At 48.9% G+C, this 27,507-nt stretch overlaps 1 protein-coding gene across 13 annotated transcripts, besides 1 other annotated feature; it reads left to right on the top strand.

Annotated features, from left to right (window-relative positions):
• SMARCC2 (SWI/SNF related BAF chromatin remodeling complex subunit C2) lies at positions 9–27,133 on the top strand. Of its 13 annotated transcripts, none has more exons than XM_005269104.2 (30): positions 9–141; positions 2,186–2,305; positions 3,252–3,337; positions 4,381–4,462; positions 4,556–4,648; positions 5,248–5,317; positions 5,562–5,631; positions 7,413–7,488; positions 7,657–7,788; positions 7,895–8,010; positions 8,391–8,515; positions 10,436–10,495; positions 10,645–10,682; positions 10,958–11,088; positions 11,399–11,470; positions 14,728–14,841; positions 15,643–15,796; positions 16,463–16,555; positions 16,791–16,907; positions 17,002–17,064; positions 17,555–17,813; positions 18,060–18,221; positions 19,284–19,348; positions 19,581–19,716; positions 19,797–19,963; positions 21,298–21,432; positions 23,793–24,174; positions 24,761–24,844; positions 25,124–25,189; positions 25,727–27,133. In XM_005269104.2, the coding sequence occupies exons 1-30, from the start codon at positions 31–33 to the stop codon at positions 25,801–25,803; spliced, it is 3,456 nt and encodes a 1,151-aa protein (XP_005269161.1). In that variant the 5' UTR covers positions 9–30; the 3' UTR covers positions 25,804–27,133. The 13 variants fall into 13 exon arrangements, with proteins under 13 accessions (XP_005269161.1, NP_001123892.1, XP_047285403.1 ...); NM_001130420.3 differs by having other exon boundaries at positions 16,788–16,907; XM_047429447.1 differs by lacking the exon at positions 16,463–16,555.
• Positions 53–272: a silencer, noted in NCBI's record as "silent region_4548". NCBI's record gives its function as "represses an Ori minimal core promoter by ATAC-STARR-seq in GM12878 lymphoblastoid cells {active_cell/tissue: GM12878}" and the evidence as "EXISTENCE:reporter gene assay evidence [ECO:0000049][PMID:35858748]".

Here is a 27,507-nt window from a genome sequence, read left to right as displayed (position 1 = left end):
CGGGCGGCGGCGGGGCCCGAGCCGGAGAAGATGGCGGTGCGGAAGAAGGACGGCGGCCCCAACGTGAAGTACTACGAGGCCGCGGACACCGTGACCCAGTTCGACAACGTGCGGCTGTGGCTCGGCAAGAACTACAAGAAGGTACGCGGGCCGGGCCGGGCCGCGCGGGGACCGGGGGCGGGACAAAGGGACCGCGGCCCTGCAGCCCCGGGATCCTGCCTACCCTCCAGGCGCCCCAGCCCCTCCCCCGCGGCCTCCCAAGCAGCCCCCCGCGCGCCCTCCTGCGCTCCCGCGCCCCTCCCCCAGCCTCCCTCTCCCCGCACCCCCAGCCTCTGAGCCCAGCCCCCGCCCCCACTGCTGCGCCCTCTGCCCCTTGTTTTTCTCTACTGCCCGGCGGGCCCCGGTGCCATTAGCCCACCTTCCCCTCAGCCATCGCCCTCCTGGCTTTTCTGGGAGAGGCGGCCGGCCGGGTGTGGACCGGGTGCCCAATGGGCTCCCCCGCAACCCGGAGCGTGCCCGCCAGAGCTCCCCACGGAGCCAGGTACCAGCGGGGCTGAGGCCTCTCCGGTGCTTTGTGTATGTTCAGAGAGAGAGAATGGAAAGCAGGAGGGTAAACAGTCACAGAGCAAGCCGTTGGCTGCTCATCAGCCTGAAAAAGGTCTCCACCCAGGGATCACCTGTCTCCGCCGCTCATCCCCCACCTTCATCTAAGGGGCAACAGAATCTCTCAGGGAGCCGGGGTATAGGAGTTCCTGGGTAGCGGCCCCTTCCGAAACCTTTCCTCGATTTTACAATGAAGTCACCTTGCAACCTAGCTTTGCAGTACCCTGGGTTTGGGGTCGAGAGGTTAGGGTGAGCTTCCTATCTCTAGCCCCTCACACCCAAACCCCATAACTGGAGATCATAAGGTGGTGAACAAAAGGTTCAAGAATCCTTACCTGTCTTTTCTACCAAACCTCTTCCTGGTGTCGTCTTTGTCTCTAGGCCTGGTTTTCTCTGGAAATGGTCTGCCTCTCTTTTTCTCACTACCCTCAGAGAGGGATTCTCTTTATGGCTTTCTTTCAGCTCCCCAGTTCTTCCTGCCGGCTTTGCAGCTCGTCAGAAGTGTGCTTAGTGGCTTAGGAGAACTTCCTACTGATGCTGGTTGTGAGCCTGGCCCTGCCCTTGGGGTCTCTCTGGGTGTGAGAATCCTGACAAATAGCTGCTATTTCTATGGCATGTCTCTACGCCTGTGAGAGGCTCTTATTCCCAGGCTTCTACCTTTGACCTTTTGCAGGGAGATCAGGCTAGGGGCTTAGCCTCCGGCCTTGGGGGAATTGACAGTTGTGACCTGGTTCAGCTTCCATGCTCTTAGCTCTTTGTCATTTACCTTTCCCTTCACAGATCTATCTCTTTTCACCTCTCACTGAGAGGCACTGTCTTCTTTGTGATGAGTGGGGAGAAAACGGGTCAAAAAGTAAAAAGAAAGTCTCCTGGCTCAGGTTCAAATTAGAATGGAAGGCTAGGATGCTACTAGGTAGCAGAGTGTGGAAACATAGAAGTAGGGCCAGGGTTACTTGTCTCAGATACAGTTTCCTCGGACAGGGTAGATGTTGTCTTGCTCTTCTCCATCAGGCTGGGTAGTGGATGGCCCTTCCTGTCTAGGAGGGCCTATGAAGACATTTATACCCAGTCTTCAGAAGCAAAATGCACAAGCTCACTCAGTCAACTTGCCCTCCTTCACTTCCTTGTACCTTTTCTTGTTAGGCTACATTATAGGGGGAATCATGGCTTTACAGAGTTCCCCTAAGAAATGTCTCTCTTAGAGCCCCAGAGGTATTGCTTCCATGACCTGAACTTTATAAACCTCCAGAATTTTACAACCCTCAGTGCTGTTGGTTAAAGATGAGGTGCCAAGATAATAGGGTCCTGCAACTCCAATTTCAGAGTATAACTGAGGAAGAGTAGTAAGCTTCCCTGTTCCCCCCAACACTGGCCACCTGGGCTGGTGGCAGCAGAATTTCAGCTTCCTGGTTGGGGTGTCCAGGGCCTCCCTTTTGCCATTTTCTTTATAGAGACTAAATGGGGAGAAGGGCACTATTTTCTTTGCTCCACATGCTTCCAGAGCCCCTGGGGGAGAAATATGGGAGATAGTGGACAATTTATCTGAGATCTATTTTTCTTTCCTTTCCCTCTTTTTCCTTAGTATATACAAGCTGAACCACCCACCAACAAGTCCCTGTCTAGCCTGGTTGTACAGTTGCTACAATTTCAGGAAGAAGTTTTTGGCAAACATGTCAGCAATGCACCGCTCACTAAACTGCCGGTGAGTGCAGAAGTAGCAGGGAGGGTGGGGGGTGGTGGTGGTGAATCCTTCAAACTGAAGAGTTGTATTTTAAAAAAAGATTTGTGAATTTTGTAATTTTTGAAATTTGGGTTATTTTCCACCATCCCTATCCCTGATCAGGGCATTATTGGCTTGGCCTAGTCTCCAGTTTACCATTCTTTTTGTCTTAGTAATATTTTGTGCAACAAATTATTTCAGAGTACCTGGGATCAGTCCACAGGTCTCTCATGGCATGGTTAAAAGGGGACTTGAGATTTGGATTTGTGCAGGCTTGTGTTCAAATCCTGGCTTTGCCATTGGATGGCTCTGTGATCTTGGGCAACATTCATGAGTCTTGGTTCCTTCATCTCTAGATGGGATTAGTAAACCTACCTTGTAGAGTTTCCTTAATGGTACCTGAGGTAATCCAGTAAAGTGTTAGCACAAGGTGGTGCTTTCTGTGTGTTGGTTTCTTTCACTCCCCTCTTCCAGGCCACATGATGCAATGGCACAAGGGTTAAAGAATTTCAGCTTTGAGGCCGGGCGTGGTGGCTCACGCCTGTAATCTCAGCACTTTGGGAGGCCGAGGCGGGCAGATCACCTGAGGTCTGGAGTTGGAGACCAGCCTGACCAACATGGAGAAACCCCGTCTCTACTAAAAATACAAAATTAGCCGGGTGTGGTGGCTCATGCCTGTAATGCCAGCTACTCAGGAGGCTGAGACAGGAGAATTGCTTGAACCTGGGAGGCAGAGGTTGCAGTGAGCCAAGATCGCGCCATTGCACTCCAGCCTGGGCAACAAGAGTGAAACTCCATCTCAAAAAAAAAAAAAAAAAAGGGAGATCAATTCAGCATGGGATTTTGTGAAAGGATTATTAGATTATTAAGTGATGAGAGAATTTACAGTGGAACCTTGACATGCTTTTTCCGTATCTTGATTTTGTAGATCAAATGTTTCCTAGATTTCAAAGCGGGAGGCTCCTTGTGCCACATTCTTGCAGCTGCCTACAAATTCAAGAGTGACCAGGGATGGTGAGATGATTCTCTCTATTCTTCTTATATTTAGTTTAGAGGAAATCCCCCTTTTTGATTCCCTGGGATCTTTCTGGGGTAGAAATTCTTGTGAGTCTCTTTATTTTGCTGGGTCAGTAGACCTGACTTACTACGTCAGGAAGATGGTTGGGAGTCAGAGCCAAAACAGTCTCCAAGAGTGAGTGTGTGAGTATCACTGTGTGTTTTGTAGAGGAAAAGGGATTCTTAGGTTGGCATCTCAAACCTTTTTTTGTCCCTTTGAAGTAAGCACAGAGAGTGATTCATGGAGTTGAGATCAGTGAACCTCAGATCCCAGGTGATGTTTGGCAATAGCTGTGAGCAAGCTTGCCTCCTAATTTCCCATATTAAGAAGTCATGGCTGGGCGCAGTGGCTCACACCTGTAATCCCAGCACTTTGGGAGGCCGAGGTGGGTGGATCATTTGAGGTCAGGAGTTTGAGACCAGCCTGGCCAACTTGGCAAAACCCCATCTCTACTAAAATACAAAAATTAGCCGGGCATGGTGGCGGGCACCTGTAGTCTCAGCTACTTGGGAGGCTGAGGCAGGAGAATGGCTTGCACATAGGAGGCAGAGGTTGCAGCTGGCCAAGATCGCGCCAGTGCACTCCAGCCTGGGCAACAGAGCGGGACTCCCTCTCAAGAAAAAAAAAAAGGCCGGGTGTGGTGGCTCATGCCTGTAATCCCAGCACTTTGGGAGGCCGAGGCAGGTGGATCACCTGAGGTCAGGAGTTCAAGACCAGTTTGACCAATATGGTGAAACCTCGTCTCTACTTACTAAAAATACAAAAATTAGCCACGTGAGGTGGTGTGTGCCTATAGTCCCAGCTACTGGGGAGGCTGAGACAGGAGAATTGCTTGAACCTGGGAGGCAGAGGTTGCAGTGAGCCGGGATCGCGCCACTGCACTCCAGCCTAGGTGACAGAGCAAGACTCCATCTCAAAAAACAAACAAAAAAGTCACGTGCCCTCACCTCATCTGCAGACCTGAGCTATACCACTCACTAGATTATTGCCTCTTCACAAGGCGGCGTTACGATTTCCAGAATCCATCACGCATGGACCGCAATGTGGAAATGTTTATGACCATTGAGAAGTCCTTGGTGCAGGTAATAGGCATATACCCTATTTATCTCCCTTCCCTCAGTGAGAATCTAAAACACCCCTTTCCTATAATCTCATTCTATTTCTTCTCTCCACAGAATAATTGCCTGTCTCGACCTAACATTTTTCTGTGCCCAGAAATTGAGCCCAAACTACTAGGGAAATTAAAGGACATTATCAAGAGACACCAGGTAAATGGTCTGGTGAGGAGAGGTTTCAGAAACTCCATGACTGTTTTCCCAGTGTTTTCTATACCAAGCAGCAGCCCTGAATTACCATGTTTTCTGCTTCAGAGGTGGCTCTGTCTACTTGGAAAAAGACTTGAGTTAAAGCCTTGAGTCTGTCTTTTTCTGTCTGCTTCTCCCATTTTTCAGTCCTGACAGGTTTGCATTACTGTTCTAGAGACTATGTTGGCCTGGGGAAAAATAGTATCCACTTCTACTGAGCTAGAGATTGCGTGATCTCAGATAAATGAAATTCCTGCTCTTTGGAACTTTATAGTAATGAATAGATGTCATTGATAAGGATGTACAGTGGACTTTAAATTTCCCATGTATAGATTATCTGTTCAGAAGATTATTTTTGGCAATTTTTAATTCTTTGACTTTTCTCCATTATTAGCACAATCCCAGCTGTTTCCCTCTGCCACTTAGCTGGTGTGTGCTTAGAGAATACAAACTAACTTTAATACTATTATAAGCAAAATATGGTTAGGAAGGCAGCTCTGTGGCTAAACCTTGAGTAATTCAGAGGGGACCATAATTTACCCGCTTCTCCTTTTACCATCCAGGGAACAGTCACTGAGGATAAGAACAATGCCTCCCATGTTGTGTATCCTGTCCCGGGGAATCTAGAAGAAGGTGAGACCTGGGTTTTCCTGTCCACTTGAGTGGATGGTTTGGACTAGGAGGCAGAGGACTAAGATCACCATTCAGTACCTGGGCTCCTCCTCTTCTTTCAATCTTGAATCCTCTTACCACCTTAAGTTCCTATTACCAAGTCCCCTGCTACAACAGGAGAGTGCATTAGTTAGGGCTTTTGTACAGTATTTTTTTTGTGTCCCCCTTTAGCTTATATCTCTCCCTTCTCTTCCTCTATCCCCAGAGGAATGGGTACGACCAGTCATGAAGAGGGATAAGCAGGTTCTTCTGCACTGGGGCTACTATCCTGACAGGTGAGGATGGGTTCCTGGGGCAGGTTTAAGTATAAGAGCCAGACCCAGAAGCCCTAGGACATCTAGCAGAGCAAGAGGCCACTCTTTCAGAGTTATTTTTAGATCACTTAATTTGTTTTCCTCTCACCTAGTAAGTGAACCTCTGTCTTGGGGGAGGTTTGGACTTAGTGGACAAGCCTTGGGCTAAAAGGATTGAGGCTTTATGTGTGAATTGATTATCCCAGCATCATTTTCGATAAGTAAATGTTAGAAACAATCTAAATGTCTAACAGTAGGAAAATGTTTCAGTAAATTTGTATATCTACTCAGTGGACTATTATGCAGTCTTTAAAGTGATATAACATGGATAATTTATAAGTGAATATTATTAATAATTGCAAAAAGTAGCATGTAGGCCTGGCATGGTGGCTCACGCCTGTAGTCCCAGCACTTTGGGAGGCCAAGGCAGGCGGATCACCTGAGGTTAGGAGTTCGAGACCAGCCTGGCCAACATGCTGAAACCCCGTCTCTACTAAAAATACAAAAAAAAAAAAAAAATTAGCAGGGCGTGGTGGCACACGCCTGTAGTTTTAGCTACTTAGGAGGCTGAGAAGCAGGATAATCGCTTGAACCGGGGCAGCAGAGGTTGCAGTGAGCCAAGATCACACCACTGCACTCTAGCCTGGGCGACAGAGCGAGACTCTGTCTCAACAAAACAAAACAAAACAAAAAATAGCACGTAGGCTGGGTGCAGTGGCTAATGCCTATAATCCCAGCACTTGGGGAGGCTGAGGTGGGCAGATTGCTTGAGCCCAGGAGTTTGAGACCAGCCTAGGCAACATGGTGAAACCCTGTCTTTACAAAAAAAAAAAATACAGAAATTAGCTGGGCATGGTGGCATGCACCTGTAGTCCTAGCTACTTGGGGGGCTGAGGTGGGAGGATTGCTTGAGCCCAGGAGGTTGAGTCTGCATTGTGCCATGATTGCACCACTGCACTTCAACCTGGGCAATAGAGCAAGACCCTGTCTCAAAAAAAAAAAGCATGTAAAATATCATCTAGTATGGTTATGATTATGTAAAAACATCATCTAGTATGGTTATGATTATGTAAAAAGAAAATTGTGGACCAGGCACAGTAGCTCACTCCTATAATACTAGCACTTTGGGAAGCCAAGGCAGGAGGATCACTAAAGGCTGGAAGTTCAAGACCAGCCTAGGCAGCAAAGTGAGACCCTGTCTTAACAAAAACAAAAACCCCAGCTGGACGCGGTGTCTCATGCCTGTAATCCCAGCACTTTGAGAGGCCGAGGTGGGTGGATCACGAGGTCAGGAGCTTGAGACCAGCCTGGCCAAGATGGTGAAACCCCGTCTGTACTAAAAATATAAAAATTAGCCGGGCGCAGTGGCAGGCACCTGTAATCCCAGCTACTCGGGAGGCTGAGGCAGGAGAATCGCTTGAACCCGGGAGGCGGAGGTTGCAGTGAGCCGAGATCGCGCCACTGCACTCCAACCTGGGTGACAGAGCAAGAGCAAGACTCTGTATCAAAAAAAAAAAAAAATTACTGTGGAGGAAAAACAGATATACAAGTATCAAGAGTAGTTACGTAAGGGTGATTCTTTTTGTTCTCTATTTTTGAAATGTTTCGTAATGTGCTTTTACTACTTTATAATGAATAGAATACAAAAAAAATAAGCCAAGAACCCAATACTTTCTGTAAATGGAAAGGGTAAAAGATCTGCACTTTACTTTTCCACAATTCTATCCCATTGATTCTACTGTGTGCTCAATTTCCCATGGCAGTTACGACACGTGGATCCCAGCGAGTGAAATTGAGGCATCTGTGGAAGATGCTCCAACTCCTGAGAAACCTAGGAAGGTGAGCTTTTCTTGTATCCCCTCTTCCCCAAAAAGAATGCCAGGAACAGTCTACCCTTTGGAAGTGAAACAGAGGCTTGTATGCCCTTGAGCTTTTTCTGTTAAGGGTCCCCAGACAGAGCTGTGGCTTCCAGGCTTCTCTGCAGCATGATCTGCCTTTGTACTTTAGGTTCATGCAAAGTGGATCCTGGACACCGACACCTTCAATGAATGGATGAATGAGGAAGACTATGAAGTAAATGATGACAAAAACCCTGTCTCCCGCCGAAAGAAGATTTCAGCCAAGACACTGACAGATGAGGTGACAAATCCTGTTCTTTTTTTCCTGGCGCCCTTAGCATAAGTCTCAGAACAAATCTTCAGTGGGGATTGTAGGCTGACATTTGTCCTGATTCTCCATCCTATAGGTGAACAGCCCAGATTCAGATCGACGGGACAAGAAGGGGGGAAACTATAAGAAGAGGAAGCGCTCCCCCTCTCCTTCACCAACCCCAGAAGCAAAGAAGAAAAATGCTAAGAAAGGGTGTGCCAGCCCCTAGCCTGCCCCCGTGTTCACCATTCTCTCCACATCATGTTGAAGGAAGGAAAGACAAATCCCTTCCTATAACCACCTGGCCCTGACCTGGGTGTGCCATAATACTGCAGGTGTCCTGAGAGGGAAGATGAGGAGATCTTTAGCTGCTCAGTTGTTAGTTCTGGTTCTGGCCCCACTAGTACATTTAAAGAGAGCTTTATCAAGTGAAAAGCCTTTGCCACTTCCCATTACTGTGTGATTACTGGTTTCTGTTTGTACTCAGCTCTACCCTTGGAATTCTCTGTCACTTCCCTTCCCTTGAACTTCAACTTCCAGGGACTCCTTGTCCAAGGATGACTGGGTTCTCTTTCACTCTCTTTCCTTCCCAGTCCCTCAACACCTTACACTAAGTCAAAGCGTGGCCACAGAGAAGAGGAGCAAGAAGACCTGACAAAGGACATGGACGAGCCCTCACCAGTCCCCAATGTAGAAGAGGTGACACTTCCCAAAACAGGTACAGGCCAGGCTGAGCTCCTGGGATCCACCCCCACTCCCCGTCTTGACTCTCCTTTGCCAAACCCCAAGTGAGCTGATTTCTCAGGTCCACCTCCCAGTCTACAGGATCTTTTCCTTAAATTTAGCTGGTTATTGGAATTACGGTCATTACCCTGGAAAATCCTCTAACTGTATATTCATATCTGAGTTGTGGACTGTGCTTTGTGCCTGATAGTAGTTGTCTCCAAACTCTTTGATTATGTGTTTCTGACAGTAAAATATATTTGAGCATGGCCAGGCACGGTGGCTTATGACTGTAATCCCAGCATTTTGGGAGGCCGAGGCGGGCGGATCACCTGAGGTCAGGAATTCGAGACCAGCCTGGCCAACATGGTGAAACCCCATCTCTACTAAAAATACAAAAATTAGCTGGGCGTGGTGGTGGGCACCTGTAATCCCAGCTACTCGGGAGACCGAGGCAGGAGAATTGCTTGAACCTGGGAGGTAGAGGTTGCAGGGAGCCGAGATTGTACCACTGCACTCCAGCCTGGGCGACAAGAGCAAAACTCCATCTCAAAAAAAAAAAGGGCCGGGCACGGTGGCTCATGCCTGTAATCCCAGCACTTTGGCAGGCCGAGGTGGGCGGATCACGAGGTCAGGAGATCGAGACCATCCTGGCTAACATGGTGAAACCCTGTCTATACCAAAAATACAAAAAAATTAGCTGAGCGTGGTGGCGGGTGCCTGTAGTCCTAGCTACTCAGGAGGCTGAGGCAGGAGAATGGCGTGAACCTGGGAGGCGGAGCTTGCAGTGAGCTGAGATCACGCCACTGCACTCCAGCCTGGGCAACAGGGCGAGACTCCATCTCAAATAAAAAAAAAGAAAAAAAAATGTATATATGCATTAATTATGTACTTGTACTGTTAAGCCGCTACCATGGGAACGTTTTAAAACACAAACATATCTAAAAAATTGAAAAATGTAAAGAATGATAAAAACAAACATGAAGAATCAGGGCGCGGTGGCTTACGCCTGTAATCCCAGCACTTTGGGAGGCCGAGGCAGGCGGATCACGAGGTCAAGAGATCAAGACCATCCTGGCTAACACGGTGAAACCCCATCTTTACGAAAAATACAAAAATTTGCCAGGCGTGGTGGTGGGCGCCTGTAATCCTAGCTATTCGGGAGGCTGAGGCAGGAGAATCACTTGAATCTGGGAGGTGGAGGTTGCAGTGAGCCGAGATCGCACCACTGCACTCCAGCCTGGGCGACAGAGCGAGACTCCGTCTCAAAAAAACAAAACAAAAAACATGAAGAGAAGTTCTGTATTCTCTCCCTGAGTTGCAGTGGATCATCTTTTGCGTCCTATGTTAGAACCCCACTTTGGAGACATTGCTCCACCAATACTGGTTTACAGTCTGTATTCTGTAGACTCACCCCAGGTATTCCAGAAGTGTATTTCAGGGGTAGGATTAGGGCTGCCACCAAGAAGAGTTCTGGCTTCTACCTCCTCATCAATCAGCTCTCTCTCTTCTCTATGTTTGCTCCTGAGCATATGTATATGAATTCAGTTGAGGAAAGTATCCTCTGCTTTCAAAAATGTTTAACACTTAACCATTCTTCCACAGAGTGATTTGGTCAGATTCAGTATCAGACCATTAAAAGCTTACAGATACATAGATGGAGATAAAGGCCTGTCAAAGACAAGAATCATTTATGAATGTACATAGAGAAATAAGTTAAATTAATTTTTGGTTGGAGAAGTGGGGAAAGTAGCAAGAAGTTTGAAGCCCTAGAATAATTGTGACTGGAGAGAATTACTATATTTTGCAATCAGGTGGAGACAATTTTTGGAGAAAGTAGGATGTCTGGAACTATTAAATTGAAGGCTTGAATTAGGCAAAATCTGTCTGATAAAATGACTCTCTGTTTTCGCAGTCAACACAAAGAAAGACTCAGAGTCGGCCCCAGTCAAAGGCGGCACCATGACCGACCTGGGTAAGACAGGAGCCTCTTGGGCACGGCAGTCAGAGCCAAGGGAAGGGGAGGGCTCAGCTGCCCCCTTTTCGCTAGCCTGATGGGCTTTTGGTAGGGCTTTCTTGCCCCTCAGGAGGCTCCAGCCTTACATCTTGGTTTTTCTCTTTCAGATGAACAGGAAGATGAAAGCATGGAGACGACGGGCAAGGTGGAGCCAGTTTAGAGAGGCCCTACCTCTCTATGTGATTCTGATTTGTGATTATAAAGTTCATTCTGCCCAAACTTTTCACTGCCCAGACTTTACCCACTGTAGACTAATTCCAGCTTTGTTCAAAACTCTGACCCTTTCAGAGTCCTGGGGCCCATGACTGCTCAGTCCCATCACCCATCTTTAGTGTCCACATTCCTGGGGTGTGGGAGAAGCAGAGGGTTGCTAGGGAGGAAGCAGGAATGCTGAGTGTCCAGCAGCCTCCATACTCGTAGGATGAGGATGAGAACAGTACGGGGAACAAGGGAGAGCAGACCAAGAATCCAGACCTGCATGAGGACAATGTGACTGAACAGACCCACCACATCATCATTCCCAGCTACGCTGCCTGGTTTGACTACAATAGGTATGGTTGTCCCCAACTTCTCACTGAGTCCTTATTTCCCTGCCTCCAGGGGTCAACAGGCTGTTCTTCTCCCTGCCTCCTCCAAATAAGTTATTTTTTCCTCACCCAAATAGACCAGAGTACACTTTAGTTTTAGGGGAGCTCCTTGTGTCCTTTTGAGTCTTACAGCCTGTGGGATGTTCTCCCCAAGCTTCTAACTTCAGCAATTTCGAGCTCTTTTCCTTCTTTGCCTTCTAGGCTTTTCCTCCCTTTGGGGCCCCCATCCCTTCACCAATGCCTTCTTCTGAAACCATTCTGGCTTTTCTTGCAGTGTTCATGCCATTGAGCGGAGGGCTCTCCCCGAGTTCTTCAACGGCAAGAACAAGTCCAAGACTCCAGAGATGTAAGGAAATCTCATCTCATGATTCTCCTTCTCCCTCCTGTCCCCACATTCACCCTTCCTGATCCAGTAACATTCAGTTTAGCAAACATTTCTTGAGCATCTTCCATGAGCCAGGCACTATGCTAGGCTTACAAAGGCACAATATCTGCCTTTAGGCAGCCCTGGCCTAGCATGTAGACACATGTTCTTTAGGATTTGCCCAAGGGTGATATTAAGCATGTTCTATACATAACAAGTACCTACTCCAGTGCCTCAACTTCTTTTTAACAGGGTATAGAGCCTTTAAATCCATATTACTGATATCGTCTATACTGCAGATATTCCTAGCACAAAAGTTTTGATTAAAGTGTAAATTACTATTACCAGGCTGGTTCCTGAGAGTAGGTTTTAATAGAAAAACAAGAGAAGGAACTAATAGAAGACCAGTTTATATAAATTAAGGGATGGAGAGGGCTCACTGGGAAAGAAGTGTAGGAGCCACGGTGGCTCACGACTGTAAATCATCCCAGCTACTTGGGACACTGAGACAGAAGGATTCCTTGAGGCCAGGAGTTCAAGAATAGCATGAGCAACATAGCAAGACTCCCATCTCTAAAGAAGTGAAAAAAAATTAGCTGGGCCTGGTGGGGCATACCTGTGGTCCCAGCTACTTCGGAAGCTGAAATGGGAAGATTGCTTGAGCCCAGGAGTTTGAGGCTGCAGTGAGCCATGATCACACCACTGCTCTCCAGCCTGGCTGACACGGCAAGACCCCGTATCTAAAAAAATTAATGAACAAGGCTGGGTGTGGTGGCTCACGCCTGTAATCCCAGCACTTTGGGAGGCCGAGGCGGGCGGATCACAAGGTCAGGAGATCGCGACCATGCTGGCTAACATGATGAAACCCCATCTCTACTAAAAAGACCAGGCGCGGTGGCTCATGCCTGTAATCCCAGCAATTCGGGAGGCTGAGGCGGGCGGATCACCCGAGGTCAGGAGTTCGAGCTCAGCCTGACCAACATGGAGAAACCCCGTCTCTACTAAAAATACAAAACTAGCTGGGCGTGGTGGCACGTGCCTGTAATCCCAACTACTAGGGAGGCTGAGGCAGGAGAATCGCTTGAACCCGGGAGGCGGAGGTTGCAGTGAGCCGAGATTACGCCATTGCACTCCAGCCTGGGCAACAAGAGTGAAACTCCGTCTCAAAAAAAACAAAAAAACAAAAACAAAAAAAATTAGCCGGGCGTGGTGGCATGCATCTGTAGTCCCAGCTAGTCTGGAGGCTGAGGCAGGAGAATCACTTGAACCTGAGAGGCAGAGGTTGCAGTGAGCCGAGATCACGCCACTGCACTCCAGCCGGGGTGACAGAGCGAGACTCCGTCTCAAAAAAAAAAAAAATTAGCTGGGCGTGGTGGCAGGCGCCTGTAGTTCCAGCTACTTGGGAGGCTGAGGCAGGAGAATGGCATGAACCTGGGAGACAGAGCTTGCAGTGAGCCGAGATTGCGCCACTGCACTCCAGCCTGGGCGACAGAGCAAGACTCCGTCTCAAGAAAAAAAAAAAGATTTTGCCTCAGGCCAAACCTGCTTGGCTTTGGATAAGACATGGCAGTCTTCTTTGGTTAGGAATACTTCAAGATAACCACATTGATGAGGTGGGTGAGACTGAGAACTGAACAAGTTTTCTTCCCAGCTATTCCACAGCTTCCCCTCTCTGGGGGTCCCTCCGTGTTTTTTCTTCATAGCTTGCTATGGTTCTCTCTTCCTTCTCTTCCTGGAGAAAGCAGTATGTGTGAAAAGAAAGTAGTGATCAGGTGAAATGAATTCAACATGACATGCAGGCAGGGTTGGAGTAGGAACTGAACTCTTGGTATAAAATAGTAAATGATGGCTGGGCATGGTGGCTCACGCCTGTAATTCCAGCACTTTGGGAGGCCCAGGCGGGCAGATCACGAGGTCAGGAGTTCGAGACCAGCCAGGCCAACATGGTGAAACCCCGTCTCTACTAAAAATACAAAAATTAGCTGGGTGTGGAGGCACGCACCTGTAATCCCAGCTACTTGGGAGGCTGAGGCAGGAGAATCACTTGAGCCCGGGAGGTGGAGGTTGCAGTGAGCCAAGATCTCATCATTGTACTCCAGCCTGGGCAACAAGAGTGAAACTCCATCTCAGAAAAAAAAAAATAGTAAATGATGATAATTGCCTGCATCTATTGAGAGCTTAGTATCTCCCAGGCACTATACTAAATGTCCAACCTACATTGAGTAATTTAATCTTTACGTCAACCTTAGAGGTAGATATCATCTTCAGTTGACAGATAGGGTATAGAGGAGTCAAGTCACCTGCATAAAGTCACAGAGCTAGTAAATAAAACCAGGATCTGAATCCTTTAATCTGGCCCATGATCTGAAACTTTACACTGTACCACATGATAGCTGCCATTTTTTTGAGCCCCTACAATGCGCCAGGCACTATACTAGTACTTTATAGACCTCTCAACAGACATTCCATTTTACAAATGAGGAAACTGAGGTTTAAAAATTCGAAGTAAATTGCCAAGGTCCTCATGGTAGAACTGGGATTTGAACTTAGATCTTTTCAACTTCAAAACATATGTTTTTTACCGTGGTATGCTGACTAGCTATATGCATGAATAAGGACTTCCTTTTAACATCTGAGTTTGGAAATGAGTATTTTCTTAACTTCTAATTCCTTGTTTAAAAATTGTATAAAATGGCTAGGTGCAGTGGCTCATGCCTGTAATCCCAGCACTTTGGGAGGCTGAGGCAGGAGGCTCACCTGAGGTCAGGAGTTTGAGACCAGCCTGACCAACATGGAGAAACCCTGTCTCTACTAAAAATACAAAATTAGCCGGCCGTGGTGGCACATGCCTGTAATCAGAGCTACTGAGGAGGCTGAGGCAGGAGAATCTCTTGAACCCAGGAGGCGGAAGTTGCCATGAGCCAAGATCATGCCATTGCATTCCAGCCTGGGCAACAAGAGGGAAACTCCATCTCAAAAAAAAAAATTGTATGAAATATCCCTAAGTATAGCCAAGGAGATAATTCATTTAAAGAAAACCCCATCAAGGAAAAGTAAGACATATTTGAAACCCTTTCATCTAGCACATAGCAGGCACTCAGCATGTAGAGTCAAATAATCTACTTTTTTCCATCTTTATCATGCAGGAGAAGTCATTAGCTCTCTTACCATTTTTTCCTTTAGCCCTTTAACAAACATTTATTTTTCTTCTTCTTGTTTCTCTCTCTCTTTCTTCTAAGCTACCTGGCCTATCGAAACTTTATGATTGACACTTACCGACTGAACCCCCAAGAGTATCTTACCTCTACCGCCTGCCGCCGAAACCTAGCGGGTGATGTCTGTGCCATCATGAGGTGGGTCTTGTGGCTGAGGGGAAGGGGGTACATGAGGATGCCTGCCTATGGATGTGTTTTGGCAACAGTAGAGATGCCAGCAAGGAACACAGAGGAGCAGACAGAAAAAAGCACCTCTAGAGAAAGGTGAAGTACAGGTTTGGGGAATGAATGACTTGAGGGATTAGCAATGGCATTCTCTGAAGTGTAGAATATAGGACAAAGAAGGAGCATGTCTGTAATTGAAAGATACTGGTTCAGGCCAGGTGTGGTGGCTCATGCCTATAATCCAAACATTTTGGGAGACCAAGGTGGGAGGATTGCTGGAGCCCAGAAGTTCGAGACCAGCCTGGACAAAATGGCAAAACCCCATCTCTAGAGAAAATGCAAAAAAATTAGCTAGGCATGGTGGCACGTGCCTGTGGTCTTAGTGACTCAGGAGGCTGAGGTGGGAGGATCCCCTGAGCCCTGGAGGTGGAGGCTGCAGTGAGCGGTGATCACACCACTGCACTTCAGTCTCTCTTAGGGAAAAAAAGAAAGAAACTGGTTCAGTTTTACTAGCTATTCAGGAAGAAATGTTCGGTAGGTAGGTAGATATAGAGATTGGCCCAGGCTGAAGATGTAGACTTGGGTGTCACTGGCATTTAGGTGATAAATGAACAACTGGAGTAGGTGAGATTTCTTAAGGAGTACAATGAACAGAGGAAAAGGCCGGGGTTGGGTGGGGAGGGGGTTTATGCCCCTTCTACCCCCCACTTTTCCTCTTCCTCGTGCACCTTTCTGGCTATCCGTGTGACCCTGTCTCTGCCTCTCTCTGCACAGGGTCCATGCCTTCCTAGAACAGTGGGGTCTTATTAACTACCAGGTGGATGCTGAGAGTCGACCAACCCCAATGGGGCCTCCGCCTACCTCTCACTTCCATGTCTTGGCTGACACACCATCAGGGCTGGTGCCTCTGCAGCCCAAGACACCTCAGGTAGGGTGAGGTGCTATGGGGATGGGGCGGGTTGGGAAGATTGGGCTTCTTTGAACTTTTCTTTTTCTGGTTTTTAGGGTAATGGTTCAGGAGTGTTTTGAGGCTTCTTCCTTTTCCATGGGATGCAAAGGGTCACGGGAATCAGCCCCATGTGTTTAGCATCCTCTCTCAGCCTTTGTACCTAAGGCTGTAATTGCTGAGGGAGAAGAGATTATCCTTTTACTCAAGGAGTAGACAGGCTAATGTAGGGGAGTCAATAGAGAAAAATGGCTTAAAATTAACTTGCATGAAATTTTTAAACTTTGTCATCTTTGCCACATTTTTTCATTTTTGCCTCATAATTATCATCTTCATTTTTTTTTCCATTTCCACTTCATCCATTACAAAAATTAGGAAGAAGGTTATGTGGCTTGCCCAAGGTCACAGAGTACCAAATCTAGGATTAGAACCTAATTGTCCAGCTCCTAAGAGAACCTATAAAGATAATGTGAATATGTATGGATATCATGCCAACGACATGTCTTATTAATCATGAAGGGAACATGGAACAGTGGCATGAGTGCCCCCAGAGCTTGTGGGCCGCCCAGCATATGGTCTTGAGGCCTCCAGGGCCTTGGCCTGGTCATTTCCTGCCCAGCCTCCATGACGCCAAGCTCTGTCCCCCAGGGCCGCCAGGTTGATGCTGATACCAAGGCTGGGCGAAAGGGCAAAGAGCTGGATGACCTGGTGCCAGAGACGGCTAAGGGCAAGCCAGAGCTGGTAGGTGGGGTGCAGACCCTGCTGGGCTGCTCATTTTCCCCTTTATTGGGGGGCCCCTGCCCGGGAAGAAGAGACATGAGAGCAGAGGAACTACAGCAGTAAGGGAGGAAGTCCCACCCAGGGGTGTCCCTGGCTTTGGGAAAGAAGCTCCTTCTGTCTGTTTTTTCTCTCTGTCAGCCCCTGGCTCCCGGTGGTCACTTGTACTCACCTGTTTCTTTCCCTCCACAAATAGCAGACCTCTGCTTCCCAACAAATGCTCAACTTTCCTGACAAAGGCAAAGAGAAACCAACAGACATGCAAAACTTTGGGCTGCGCACAGACATGTACACAAAAAAGAATGTTCCCTCCAAGGTAGGAGGTGCGGGCCGACTCTAGGGGTAGAGAATGTTCGCTCCTCAGAGGTCACAGGCTCCTTTCTTCTCACCTGCCTGTGTTTCCCCTGCAGAGCAAGGCTGCAGCCAGTGCCACTCGTGAGTGGACAGAACAGGAAACCCTGCTTCTCCTGGAGGTAATTGGGGCAAAGAAAAGAGAGTTTTTCTCTGAAAACAGAAGTGGGCTCCGTGTAGAGGCTCACGCCTGTAATCCCAGCACTTTGGGAGGCCAAGGCAGGAGGATCACTTGAGTCCAGGAGTTCGAGATGAACCTGGGCAACATAGTGAGACTCCGTCTCTACGAAAAATTTTAAAAATTAGCCAGGTGTGGTGGCACACACCTGTGGTCCCAGCTACTCAGGAGGCTAAGTGGGAGGATTGCTTGAGCCTAGGAGGTCAAGGCTCCAGTGAGCTTCAGGACCAGCTCCAGGCTGGGGATTTGGGCCATTTCATTAACTTCATATCCTTTCTTAGTGCTACTTCAAGATCCCCCTTGGACCTAGCAGAGTACACAAATACCAGAACATAGAGAACTTTGAAACCAGCTGCCCTTAGTAGGATGGGGGGAGTCAGCCTTCGAGAAAAGTGGCTAAGTAAGCGGAGTTATGTCTCCACCACTACCACCAGGCACTGGAAATGTACAAAGATGACTGGAACAAAGTGTCCGAGCATGTGGGAAGCCGCACACAGGACGAGTGCATCTTGCATTTTCTTCGTCTTCCCATTGAAGACCCATACCTGGAGGACTCAGAGGCCTCCCTAGGCCCCCTGGCCTACCAACCCATCCCCTTCAGTCAGTCGGGCAACCCTGTTATGAGCACTGTTGCCTTCCTGGCCTCTGTCGTCGATCCCCGAGTCGCCTCTGCTGCTGCAAAGTCAGCCCTAGGTAATGGGGGTGGGTGGTTCCACCTGGCCTTCTTAGTTTGCTTTTGAAGGGCTAGTTACTCAGACTGTGAATCCTCTCAAGTTTGGCTGCCCTGCTGGCCTTGTCTGTGCGGGCCTCAGCTCAGGCACCTGTCTAGGCTCCATACTAGCTTAGATGAAGACATGGGCTTGTGAGTAAGCTTTTGCAGGGATTGCCAGAACTGTTCCACTGTGCCGCTCCCAGCCTCATTCTTTCTGGGTCTTGCAGAGGAGTTCTCCAAAATGAAGGAAGAGGTACCCACGGCCTTGGTGGAGGCCCATGTTCGAAAAGTGGAAGAAGCAGCCAAAGTAACAGGCAAGGCGGACCCTGCCTTCGGTCTGGAAAGCAGTGGCATTGCAGGAACCACCTCTGATGAGCCTGAGCGGATTGGTAAGGCCAGGCAGGTTCCCAGATTTCTTGCCTTTCACAAGATCCAGAGCTACCTGGCCTCCTGTGCCATTTCTGCCTCAAGTTGGCATTAGAGCACAACATGAATGAGAACATTGGTAGGGTTTTTATTTTCCCCATGAGTTTACCTCAGGGGCTCTGGAGCCCTACTAGTCCTCTCATGAAGATTTTGGGTAGAAAAATCTTTGCTTGTAGAAGGGGCTGTTAGAAAAGTCTTGTGAAGGCCGGGCGCAGTGGCTCATGCCTGTAATCTCAGCACTTTGGGAGGCCGAGGTGGGTGGATCACGAGGTCGGGAGTTCAAGACCAGCCTGGCCAAGATGCTGAAACCCTGTCTCTACTAAATATACAAAAATTAGCTGGGCGTGGTGGCACGTGCCTGTAATCCCAGCTACTTCAGAGGCTGAGGCAGGAGAATCACTTAAACCTGGGTGCCAGAGGTTGCAGTGAGCCAAGATCAAGCCACTGCACTCCAGCCTGGGCAACAGAGCAAGACTTCGTCTCTCAAAAAAAAAAAAAAAAAAAAAAAAGTCTTGTGAAGGCTGGGTGCAGTGGCTCATGCCTGTAATCCCAGTACTTTGGGAGGCTGAGGTGGGCAGATGGTTTGAGACCAGTCTGGGCAACATGGCAAAATCCCGTCTCTACAAAAAATACCAAAAAAGTTAGCCAGGCATGGTGGCATGCGCCTGTAGCCCCAGATACACAGGAGGCTGAGGTGAGAGAACCACTTGAGCCTGGGAAGTCAAGGCTGCAGTGAGCCATGATTGTGCTACTGCACTCCAGCCTGGGCGACAAGAGTGAGACCCTGTCACAAAAAAACAAAAAACAAAAAAAAACAGGTGTTATGGAGAAGCTGGGTGCAACGGCTCACACCCATAGTCCAAGCTGCTCAGGAGGCTGAGGTGGGAGGATTGCGTGGGCCCAGGAGTTTGAGACCAACCTGGGCAACACAGCAAGACCCTGTCTCTAAAAAAAAAGAAAAGTGTTAGACACAGACGACTGTGTATTAAACATTTCCTGTTTTCTTTCTTTTCTCATGGGCCCAGAGGAGAGCGGGAATGACGAGGCTCGGGTGGAAGGCCAGGCCACAGATGAGAAGAAGGAGCCCAAGGTATAGAGGGATTTCTGGAAGCTGCAGGGGCTGCGTGCAGCACTGTGGTGATGGGGAAGTTGGCCTTGTTCAGCTTAGGTGGGCAAGGGCTGGTTTTGGACGGGGTTGTCTCCTAGAATCAGATCACCTCCAAAGTAAGAGGAATAAATTTAGTTCCCCGTCTGGCCCCTCTGTGTGAGAACTAATCACCCTAATCCCTGATAACTCTCCTTTTCTATCACTGGAATTTCAGGAACCCCGAGAAGGAGGGGGTGCTATAGAGGAGGAAGCAAAAGAGAAAACCAGCGAGGCTCCCAAGAAGGATGAGGAGAAAGGGAAAGAAGGCGACAGTGAGAAGGAGTCCGAGAAGAGTGATGGAGACCCAATAGGTGAGCCTCCCACAAGGGTAGGTGGGGGTGCAGGACAGAGGTGAAGCTGTGGGGCTAACTCAACCCTTGTCCTGGCCCAGTCGATCCTGAGAAGGAGAAGGAGCCAAAGGAAGGGCAGGAGGAAGTGCTGAAGGAAGTGGTGGAGTCTGAGGGGGAAAGGAAGACAAAGGTGGAGCGGGACATTGGCGAGGGCAACCTCTCCACCGCTGCTGCCGCCGCCCTGGCCGCCGCCGCAGTGAAAGCTAAGGTGAGGCCAGACCTTGAAGACCTCAGGGAAGAAAATGTCCACTTCTCTAATCTCATCTCACTTAGAGGAAATCTTTCCTCACTCACACCTTAAATAATGCTGACCTATTTATTTTTTATTTTTATCTCAGGAGGAGGTAAAGTTAGTCATCCCTTCTCTAAGCTTTAAAAAATATATCACCATTGGGCCTGTTTTCAACCCTGTCAGTATTTGACTCCATGTTACCCTTTGCCACACTATCTCCATGTTCTTCTTTTGAGACGGAGTCTTGCTCTGTCAGATCTCGGCTCACTGCAGCCTCCACCTCCCAAGTTCAAGTGATTCTCCTGCCTCAGCCTCCCGAGTAGCTGGGACTACAGGCGTGCTACACCACGCCTGGCTAACTCTTTGTATTTTTAGTAGAGATGGGGTTTCACCATGTTGGCCAGGCTGGTCTTGAACTCCTAACCTCAGGTGATCCACCCGCTTTGGCCTCCCAAACTGCTGGAATTACAGGCGTGAGCCACCGTGCCCAGCCTCCATGCTTGTTTATTTATTTATGTATTTTTTGAGATGGAGTCTCACTCTGTTGCCCAGGCTGGAGTGCAGTGGCACAATCTCGGCTCACTGCAACCTCCACCTCCCAGGTTCAAGCGATTCTCCCACCTCAGCCTCCCAAGTAGCTAGGATTACAGGCACGTGCCAGCATGCCCGGTTAATTTTTGTATTTTTAGCAGAGATGGGGTTTCACCCTGTTGCCCCAGGCTGGTCTCAAACTCCTGGACTCAAGTGATCTGCTCGCCTTAGCCTCCCAAAGCGCTGGGATTACAGGCATGAGCCATCACACCTGGCCAAAATAATTTAATTTTTTAAAAAGGCTGGGCGCAGTGGCTCACGCGTGTAATCCCAGGACTTTGGGAGGCTGAGGCAGGTGGATCACCTGAGGTTGTAAGTTTGAGACCAGCCTGGCCAACATGGTGAAACCCCATCTCTACTAAAAACACAGAAATTAGCCGGCGTGGTGGCGCATGTCTGTAATCCCAGGTACTGGGGAGGCAAAGGCACGAGAATTGCTTGAACCCAGGAGGTAGAGGTTACAGTGAGCTGAGATCATGCCACTGTACTCCAGCCTGGGCAACAGAGTGAGACTGTCCCAAAAAAAAAAAAAGAAAAAAGAAAAAAGACACGGTGGCTCACGCCTATAATCCCAGCACAAAAAAGTCAAGCCCTTTCACCATGGGTTGTGACCACAGCAAATTTGTTCTTATACCTGCCAGCATCCACCCTACCTTTCTTCTGTATTGTCTTCAGTTGGGTCCTCCCACTGATGTGCTGTCTCGCCCCTCCTTCCCTAGCACTTGGCTGCTGTTGAGGAAAGGAAGATCAAATCTTTGGTGGCCCTGCTGGTGGAGACCCAGATGAAAAAGTTGGAGATCAAACTTCGGCACTTTGAGGAGCTGGAGACTATCATGGACCGGGAGCGAGAAGCAGTGAGTAGCAGGAGCCCTGGAACCCTGCTGCGCTGTGCCTCAGTTTAAAATCGGAGGGGCGTGTGTGTGTGTGTGTGTGTGTGTGTGTGTGTGTGTGTGTGTGTGTGTTTCAGTGAAAGAGAGATAAGCAACAGTGGGGAAAGCCTGAGTGTGTGTGTGTGTGTGTGTGTTTCAGTGAAAGATAAGCAACAGTGGGGAAAGCCTGAGACAGACAGGGCTTCAAAGCAGAGCAGGGCAGGAACAGGGCAGGAGTAGGGCAGCCAGTTAGAGACAGTTAAGTGGTCTCACAAGTGAAGTCTGGGGACTGAAGTCCCACAGAAGGTCAGCTCCATGAGGCAGGGACTCTAGTTGGTTGTTTTGATTGCTGCATCTCCAGGTCCTTGAACAGTGCTTGGCCCATAGTAGACTCAAATAGTGATTGAGTGAATGGGCGTAACGGATGATGAGAGAGAGGGTAAGAGCCTCAGATCCAGGAGGTGAACTTGGAAAGGGAATGGGACCGACACAGTGTTGAACCATTTTGTCTTTGGAGGACATAAAAAGAAATAGACAATAGGGACTGGGCACAGTGGCCCACATTTGTAATCCTAGTACTTTGGTACACTGAGGCAGATGGATCACTTGAGCCCAGGAGTTCAAGACCAGCCTGGGTAACATAGTGAGATCTCTGTCTCAACAATTTATTTTATTTATTTATTTATTTATTTATTTGAGACAGAGTTTCGCTCTTGTTGCCCAGGCTGGAGTGCAATGGTGTGATCTTCGCTCACCACAACGTCCGCCTCCTGGGAAGCGATTCTCCTGCCTCAGCCTCCCCAGTAGCTGGGATTACAGGCATGTGCCACCATGCCCAGCTAATTTTGTATTTTTAGTAGAGATGGGGTTTCTCTATGTTGGTCAGGCTGGTCTCGAACTCCCGATCTCAGGTGATCAGCCCATCTCTGCTTCCCAAAGTGCCGGATTACAGGTGAGTCATCACGCTTTTTTTTTTTTTTTTGAGATGGAGTCTTACTCTTTCGCCCAGGCTGGAGTGCAGTGGTGCAATCACGGCTCACTGCAACCTCCGCCTCCTGGGTTCAAGCGATTCTCCTGCCTCACCTCCCGAGTAGCTGGGATTACAGGCACATGCCACCATGACCAGCTAATTTTTGTATTTTTAGTAGAGACAGGGTTTCACCATGTTGGCCAGGCTGGTCTCAAACTCCTGACCTCAGGTGATCCGCCCACCTCAGCCTCCCAAAGCGCTGGGATTTCAGGCATGAGCCACCGTGCCCAGCCCAAACATTTTTTAAAAATAAACAAATTAGCCGGGCGTGGTGGTGCGAGCCTGTGGTCCCAGCTACTCAGGAAGCTGAGGTGGGAGGATCGTTTGAGCCCAGGAGGTCAAGGCTGCACTGAGCCATGTTTGCCCCATTGCATTCCAGCCTGGGTGACAGAGTGAGACCCTATCTCAAAAAAAAAAAAAAGAAGAAAAAGAAATAGAAGATAGGGACCTCAGAGAACTTAAGGTTTAATGGGAGACATCAAATGAATATACAATATGGAGACATCAGAAACAGTTAAGAAGGTTTAAAGTATCTGACAAATTCACATTAAGAGATTGCACATCAGCCGGGCGCGGTGGCTCACACCTGTAATTCCAGCACTTTGGGAGGCTGAGGCAGGTGGATCACGAGATCAAGGAGATCGAGACCATCCTGGCTAACATGGTGAAACCCCGTCTCTACTAAAGAATAAAAAAATACAAAAAATTAGCCCGGCATGCTGGCACACACCTGTAATCCCAGCTACTCGGGAGGCTGAGGCAGGAGAATTGCTTGAACCGGGGAGGCGGAGGTTGCAGTGAGCTGAGATCACGCTACTGTACTCCAGCCTGGGTGACAGAGTGAGACTCAGTCTCAAAAAAATAAAGAGATTGCACATCAAGTTTCTAAGTCCTGAGATCATAGAATAAAGCTAAAGCTCAGAGGCAAATGAATTGATCTGGGATAGCTTCCTAAGAACAGTGACTTTTTAGTGAATTTTGAAGTAAGAAAAGAACTTGAATTGACAAAAGGAACTGGAAGCATTTTCCAAATCAAGGTAATGGCAAGTTCAAAGCTTTGTAGCTGAAGTGAGCTTGGGCCAGGTTAAAGTCATTGCAATAAGAAACCATGTGGGCACTCAGGAGACATAAAGGTCATGGGAATTTGCACGAAGTCGGGTGGGGAGGACAGAGGGAGCACAAGCACAAGATGTAGATTTTGGGAACCTTCTGATTGAGAGGCAGGCTCTTTCAGAAGAAGACAAAGCAGGGGTTGAGGCATTTGCCTTTGGGATCTGCTGAAAATTGGATAACAATACTCAATTGGCACTGGCAGCTGGAGTATCAGAGGCAGCAGCTCCTGGCCGACAGACAAGCCTTCCACATGGAGCAGCTGAAGTATGCGGAGATGAGGGCTCGGCAGCAGCACTTCCAACAGATGCACCAACAGCAGCAGCAGCCACCACCAGCCCTGCCCCCAGGCTCCCAGCCTATCCCCCCAACAGGGGCTGCTGGGCCACCCGCAGTCCATGGCTTGGCTGTGGCTCCAGCCTCTGTAGTCCCTGCTCCTGCTGGCAGTGGGGCCCCTCCAGGAAGTTTGGGCCCTTCTGAACAGATTGGGCAGGCAGGGTCAACTGCAGGGCCACAGCAGCAGCAACCAGCTGGAGCCCCCCAGCCTGGGGCAGTCCCACCAGGGGTTCCCCCCCCTGGACCCCATGGTAAGTGTTATGTTCCAGAACTTTTGTTGGCTAGAGGAATCCAGGTGAATGTCCCAGTTCTCCTCAAAGGGGATACAAGATGAGTGTGGAGATGAGGTTAGCCTCAATTTCTACAGATGGGCCCATCTCTCTTAGGCCCCTAAATCAGCAGGAGTCCTTCCCCAAACTCGAGAGCTTTGGAATTTTATTCACTTACTCTAGTGTCAGAAAAGGGGAAGATAGTGCCAAGGAATGGCTAGATTATCCTTGTTTGTAAAAGTGAGTTATTCTTTGGGAGGCCGAAATGGGTGGATCACGAGGTCAGGAGATTGAGACCATCCTGGCCAACATGTTGAAACCCCGTCTCTAGTAAAAATACAAAAATTAGCTGGGCGTGGTGGTGCGTACATGTAGTACCAGCTACTCGGGAGGCTGAGGCAGGAGATTGCTTAAACCCGGGAGGCGGAGGTTGCAGTGAGCCAAGATCGTGCCACTGCACTCCAGCCTGGTGACAGAGTGAGACTCCGTCTAAAAAAAAAATAGAAAAGGTGAGTTGTTAAGCAAAATTTTATACCTAATTTTCTCCATCTCTCATCTTTATTCTCAGGCCCCTCACCGTTCCCCAACCAACAAACTCCTCCCTCAATGATGCCAGGGGCAGTGCCAGGCAGCGGGCACCCAGGCGTGGCGGGTAATGCTCCTTTGGGTTTGCCTTTTGGCATGCCGCCTCCTCCTCCTCCTCCTGCTCCATCCATCATCCCATTTGGTAGTCTAGCTGACTCCATCAGTATTAACCTCCCCGCTCCTCCTAACCTGCATGGGCATCACCACCATCTCCCGTTCGCCCCGGGCACTCTCCCCCCACCTAACCTGCCTGTGTCCATGGCGAACCCTCTACATCCTAACCTGCCGGCGACCACCACCATGCCATCTTCCTTGCCTCTCGGGCCGGGGCTCGGATCCGCCGCAGCCCAAAGCCCTGCCATTGTGGCAGCTGTTCAGGGCAACCTCCTGCCCAGTGCCAGCCCACTGCCAGGTGAGAAGGGGCCAAGAGGGGAGAAGGGTGAGGGAGAGGGGTCCACCTGGAGGGAGGGTGAGCGGGCAGGTGGGGAAGAGGTCAGGTATTAGAGTTTCCACAATCCTTTTTGAACACTCTGGTAAAATTAGAATACAGGAGGAAGGGCCTCTCTGGCCGTCCTCCACCATTCCCCAGCCTGGCAGCTGCCACCTTTGGGATGATGTTGGGGCCTTTCACTGGTGGGTCATGGAGCAATCCTGTGGCAGAGAGCATCTCAGTTGTAAACTTGAAAAGCAGCTGTTTGCATGATGATTGAGTGGCATCCCTTTGCTTATTCCTATCACGTTCAAATGCCCCATATAGAGAGTCTTTCTATATGTTTTTCTGAGTATGAGGTAGAAAAGAGTGTTGGGAACAGAAGTTGAACATTATGGGTACCTCATTCATCCACCCAGCCACTGCATGCCATGCCCGGTTCTGTCTGTCTGTGGTGGTCTGGGTCTGGAGCCATCTCTCCGGCGTACTCTAACTGATTTATCTTCCTTTTCTCCACAGACCCAGGCACCCCCCTGCCTCCAGACCCCACAGCCCCGAGCCCAGGCACGGTCACCCCTGTGCCACCTCCACAGTGAGGAGCCAGCCAGACATCTCTCCCCCTCACCCCCTGTGGACATCACGGTTCCAGGAACAGCCCTTCCCCCACCACTGGGACCCTCCCCAGCCTGGAGAGTTCATCACTACGTAAGGAAAGCTCCTTCCGCCCCTCCAAAGCCCTCACCATGCCTAACAGAGGCATGCATTTTTATATCAGATTATTCAAGGACTTCTGTTTAAAAGATGTTTATAATGTCTGGGAGAGAGGATAGGATGGGAATGCTGCCCTAAAGGAAGGGCTGGTGAAAGGTGTTTATACAAGGTTCTATTAACCACTTCTAAGGGTACACCTCCCTCCAAACTACTGCATTTTCTATGGATTAAAAAAAAAAAAAAAAAGTAGATTTTAAAAAGCCACATTGGAGCTCCCTTCTACCCACTAAAAAATAACCAATTTTTACATTTTTTGAGGGGGAGTGAGTTTTAGGAAAGGGGAATTAAGATTCCAGGGAGAGCTCTGGGGATAGAACAGGGCGCAGATTCCATCTCTCCCCAAGCCCCTTTTTAGTGACTAAGTCAAGGCCCCAACTCCCCTCCCCCACCCTACGCTGAGCTTATTCGAGTTCATTCGTACTAATAATCCCTCCTGCGGCTTCCTCATTGTTGCTGTTTTAGGCCACCCCAGCTCAGCCAATGATTCCTTTCCCTCTGAATGTCAGTTTTGTTTTTAAAAGTCACTTGCTTAGTTGATGTCAGCGTATGTGTATTTGGTGGGGAAAACCTAATTTCGGGGATTTCTGTGGTAGGTAATAGGAGAAGAAAGGGCACTGGGGGCTGTTCTCCTTCCTTCCCTGGGCTGTATCCATGGACTCCTGGAAGGCACAGAGAAGGGAGCTATAAGAGGATGTGAAGTTTTAAAACCTGAAATTGTTTTTTAAAGCACTTAAGCACCTCCATATTATGACTTGGTGGGTCACCCCTTAGCTTCCTCCCTCTCCCACCAAGACTATGAGAACTTCAGCTGATAGCTGGGGGCTCCCCAGATGAGGATGCAGGGATTTGGGAGCAGTGGAAGAGGGTGCCCAACCTTGGGTTGGACCAACCCTTGGCTCGCAGCTCAACTCTGCTTCCCGCATTCCTGCTCCACGTGTCCCAGCTTCTCCCCTGTGACGGGAAGGCAGGTGTGACTCCAGGCTCTGCACTGGTTCTTCTTGGTTCCTCCCACCAGGCCCTTTGTTCCTCATGTCCCCATGTTTCTCTCCCTCTGCGTCTTAGCACCTTTCTTCTGTTCAAAGTTTTCTGTAAATTTTCTCTTTTTTTCTTTCTTTCTTTTTTTTTTTTTTATAAATTAATTTGCTTTCAGTTCCATCTTGTGGGTGCATTCTGTGTTCTTACCTGTGGCTGTCAGGCAGGGGGATTGTGATGGGAGCAGCTTTCCTGGAGTCCTTCACAGCGGCGTTTACCTGGGCCGAAAGACACTCTGCAAGCCACACGGCCTACAGACACTGCGCCTCCCCACAAAACACGAACGGCAGCACAACTGTCGAGACTATGTGCTGGTATAGGAGCAGAGGCTCTCACCTGCCCTAAAAGCTGTTTAAGACTTGGAAGGACATTCCCACAACATGGAATTTTGTATCTCTGTCCCTTCAGAAGTAGTGGTTTCACTCCTTCCCTTATTAGAGAGGAGGCAAGCCCCTTACCTACTTTTGTTATAATTGGCCCTTCACCCTGCTGAGGTG

This window comes from Homo sapiens, chromosome 12 (assembly GCF_000001405.40).
Source record: "Homo sapiens chromosome 12, GRCh38.p14 Primary Assembly".
Classification (NCBI taxonomy): domain Eukaryota; kingdom Metazoa; phylum Chordata; class Mammalia; order Primates; family Hominidae; genus Homo; species Homo sapiens.
This window is presented reverse-complemented; position numbering and strand designations above follow the sequence as displayed.

Coding starts and splice junctions, on each gene's coding strand:
- SMARCC2 (NM_001330288.2), top strand. CDS start 31: ATGGCGGTGCGGAAGAAGGACGGCGGCCCCAACGTGAAGTACTACGAG. Junction 5,632..7,412: donor TGGGGCTACTATCCTGACAG/GTGAGGATGGGT, acceptor TTCCCATGGCAG/TTACGACACGTGGATCCCAG. Junction 8,516..10,435: donor GGTGACACTTCCCAAAACAG/GTACAGGCCAGG, acceptor CTGTTTTCGCAG/TCAACACAAAGAAAGACTCA.